General features: G+C 36.6%; 2 annotated features.

Moving 5' to 3' along the window:
* Positions 2,836–2,905: an enhancer, noted in NCBI's record as "active region_6713". NCBI's record gives its function as "activates an Ori minimal core promoter by ATAC-STARR-seq in GM12878 lymphoblastoid cells {active_cell/tissue: GM12878}" and the evidence as "EXISTENCE:reporter gene assay evidence [ECO:0000049][PMID:35858748]".
* Positions 2,986–3,115: an enhancer, noted in NCBI's record as "active region_6712". NCBI's record gives its function as "activates an Ori minimal core promoter by ATAC-STARR-seq in GM12878 lymphoblastoid cells {active_cell/tissue: GM12878}" and the evidence as "EXISTENCE:reporter gene assay evidence [ECO:0000049][PMID:35858748]".

Below are 3,625 nucleotides of genomic sequence, written 5' to 3'. Positions count from 1 at the left end.
TCAAAGGTAAAACACACAATCATTATATTAACAGTGTTTAATATCAGTGGTCTGGAGTTGGACTGCCTAGCCAACTATGCCATGTACAAACTGTGTAATGTTAGTTACTTGACTTCTTTATGTCTCAATTTCCTCCTGTGTAAAACTGGGGTTAAAAAAATGCTACCCCTTTCATAAAGTCATTCTGAAGATTCAATGAGATTATCTGAATAGAGCCTTGGCAATTAATGTTCACTCTTACCTAAAAGGGTCTTTAATGTGGAAGAAAGTTTACGCATTTTATTCAAAAGGCTTGACACAAAGAAATTCATTGCGAACTCTATTGTCTTGCAGACTGTTCTGCTTAATCAAGTAATCCGAAGTATACATACATGTTTTATGTGAATAACAAGTTTTAGAAGCAATGAAATAAATAATATTTAGTTGTTTTATTGTTAGGCATAGATGACCTCCTTTTAATAATTTAGAAACTGCTGAAGAACCTTGAAATCTCTCAAGAAATTGTCATCAGTGACTACCAAGTAGTATCATAAGATATACTGACAAAAGTGTTGGAGATTCCAGCTATAAAACTCCCAAATGATTTTGCTTTCATTATGGTTCTTTTCCTAGCTGGCCAGAAGGACACAATAAATACATAGGAAGAGAAATGAGCATTCACTGGGGAATTCAATTTGTAACTTGACAGAACAATTTCCTTAGGTTGAAAAATTCAAAATCCCCCAAAATAACCCATATGTAAAAATAAAGTCATTATCATTATACATTTCAAAATGAAAATAACTACTAGTTGGCCAATTAAAGTGAAACCTCTTTCATATTGACTACTCACCAGTTCCTTCCAGTGTTGTGATGCTGATGATTTAGTACCAATTTGAGAAACTAATGAAGAATCCTGTGATTCAATGAAATATATTTGGAGTCTACTCATAAATTTTCAATAAGTTGAAAACTACTAAAAATTTTCAAATAGGTATATATTTTCTGGAGTTTTCTAACAAAATTCAATAGAAATTGGTTCATAGTCAGTGGTTATAGAGTAATAGCTTAAGATATTTTAAGGGTTTATTTTAAGTACTATACTATAGAGTTTGTAAAATTATATGTTCACCTCAATGTATCCATAACCTATTTCATTAACCCAAGGTACCCACTTTGGGTTATGACTTCGGAAGTAATAAAAAAAAAACACATTGTGTAAATTATAAAGCACTAACTTGGAGTAGGGTGAATGTCAGGGAATTGGGAAGCCAATCAATTTAAATATCTCTAAATTCAAAAATGATTCACTTCAGAAAAGTTCCATTCTCTAGTAGGTATTTTTCCCAAGTGGAATTTGTAGATTTAAAAATGATGTAAGCCTGGAGCTGCCAAGGATCAACACATAAGGAAAGATTGTGTGAGAATGAAACTAACTCAGAGGAAAGCTGAGCCCAAGAGACTGAGGGAGACAGGCCCTGGTGACATCATTTGAGGCCTCAGAATTCAACCATGCCTGGGCTTCTTAGTTCTATGAGCCACTAAGCTCTCTTTATGGCCTTTGCCTGTCAGAGCTGGATTTCTGTTACTTAAAAACAGACAGAACCCTGACTTATACAGAGACTGTGGTCAGAAATTTTGAGGAAATGCTTCAAACTTTATCTCTCTTGCAAATTCTTATTGTGCACTAACTTATTAAAAGATCTGGGAAAATCCACTGGAAGGAAACTTGTTTATCTTTGTTGACCACTGTTTTCAGTCTTGGTTGATGATGGAACCTCCTTTCACCCAACACCTATGAACATATTTGGGAGTGGGATACTCATCTAGGGCATGGTGGAAAAAGAATTGTCAAAAAATATGTGCTGATCACTCTTGTTTGACTCCAGCAGCATTCCAGAAGAAGAAAGCCATTAAGTGAAGTAGTCTCCTATTTATCAGATGAGCAAGTCTAAATGAGTAGGGAGCTGAGGTTCATCCTCCTTTGCATCCTATATCCCCACTGCACAAGGGCAGGATGGTGGACATCTACCATCTCTTTAAATGGCAAATTCTAAGGTGCTTACGATAACTTGCCGGTCCTTCCCTCTGCCATGTTCTAATATGTCAGTGGTTTTTCCTGACTTCATTTCTCTCTTAGTCTGTTGGTGCTGCCATAACAAAATGTCTGATATTGGGTAATCTATAAGGAACATAATTTTTTTTCATGGACCCACAGCCTGGAAAGTCTAAAATCAAGGCACTGACAGGTTCAGTGTCTGGTGAGGGCCTGGTCTCTGCTTCCAAAATGGCACTTTGAACCCTGTTCTCACGTGGCAGAGCCCTCATGACCTAATCACCTACTAATGGCCTCACCCCTTAAGATTGTTGCATTGGAGATTAACTTTCAAACTGAATTTTGGAGGTGACACAAATACTCAAACTATAGCATGCTGCCCCTCATCCCCCAAAATTCATGTTATTCTCACATAAAAAATAAATTCATTCTATCCTAATAGCCCCAAAAGTCTTAACTCATTCCAGCATAAACTTTAAGTCTAAGTCTAACATCTAATCTAAATATCACCTAAATCATATATAGGTGAGATTCAAGGTATGACTCATCCTGAGATAAATTGTTCTCAAGCTGTGAACCTATGAAATCAAACAAGTTCTATGATTCCAAAATATAATGGTAGGACAGGTACAAAACAGATATTATTTCCATCTCTGAAGGGAGAAGTAAGAAAGAAGAAACGGGTAATAGGTCCCAAGTAAGTCTAACACCCAACAGGCAAATAACATTAAATCTTGAGGCCTGAAAACAACCTTCTTTGACCACATCCTGTGAGGCTTGTGTCCCCAAGACTCTAGGGGACTCCACCCCCATGGCTCTTCCGAGTGCAGCCTATGCAATAGCTCGCATATGTTTGAGTCAAATGCCTTCAGCTCTGCCAGGCTGAAACAGCATTCTGGAGGCTCTACCGTTTTAAGATCTCAGAGATCTTCAACAATAAGATTCCCCACTCCCATGACTCTGCTGGTCATGTTCCTAGCAGGACATCCTGTGAGGATTTGTCCCCAAGACTCTAGGGAACTCCACCCCCATGGCTCTTCTGAGTACAGCCAGAGTATCCCACTCCCAAATACGTTCATAGGTGTTGGGTGACAGGAGACCTCATCATCAACCAAGATTGAAAACTGTGGTCAACAAAGATAAACAAGTTTCCTTACAGTGGATTTTCCCAAATCTTTTAATAAGTTAGTGCACAATAAGAATCTGCAAAAGACAGATTCTAGTTTGTGCTACAGATAAATAGTTTGAAGGATTTCCCCAAAATTTCTGACCACATAAACAAATGATATAAAATTTACATAGTAATCTGATTTTTAAAGGAAGGGATTCTTTAATAATTTCTTATTTATTTTCGTTCTGAGAGTAAAAATCAGCATACTCATCACTTATATAATATAAATTTGAGAAGAGCTCTTCATGAATTCCCCATTCAATTATTTTATCTTTAAATAAAAGGTGAATCGTGTTAAGCATTTTAATCAACTCTTTGGAAAGCCATCATAAATACATTTCTCCGTTTATGAGTAACATGGAAAATAAGCGCTGACACAAGATAATCCTAAAGATTACTGCTATTCAATAGCCTTGTGT

The sequence above is a fragment of the Homo sapiens genome, chromosome 12, assembly GCF_000001405.40.
Source record: "Homo sapiens chromosome 12, GRCh38.p14 Primary Assembly".
In the NCBI taxonomy this organism is placed as follows: Eukaryota; Metazoa; Chordata; class Mammalia; order Primates; family Hominidae; genus Homo; species Homo sapiens.
The sequence above is the reverse complement of the archived record's forward strand: the minus strand, read 5'-3'. Positions and strand labels throughout refer to the sequence as shown.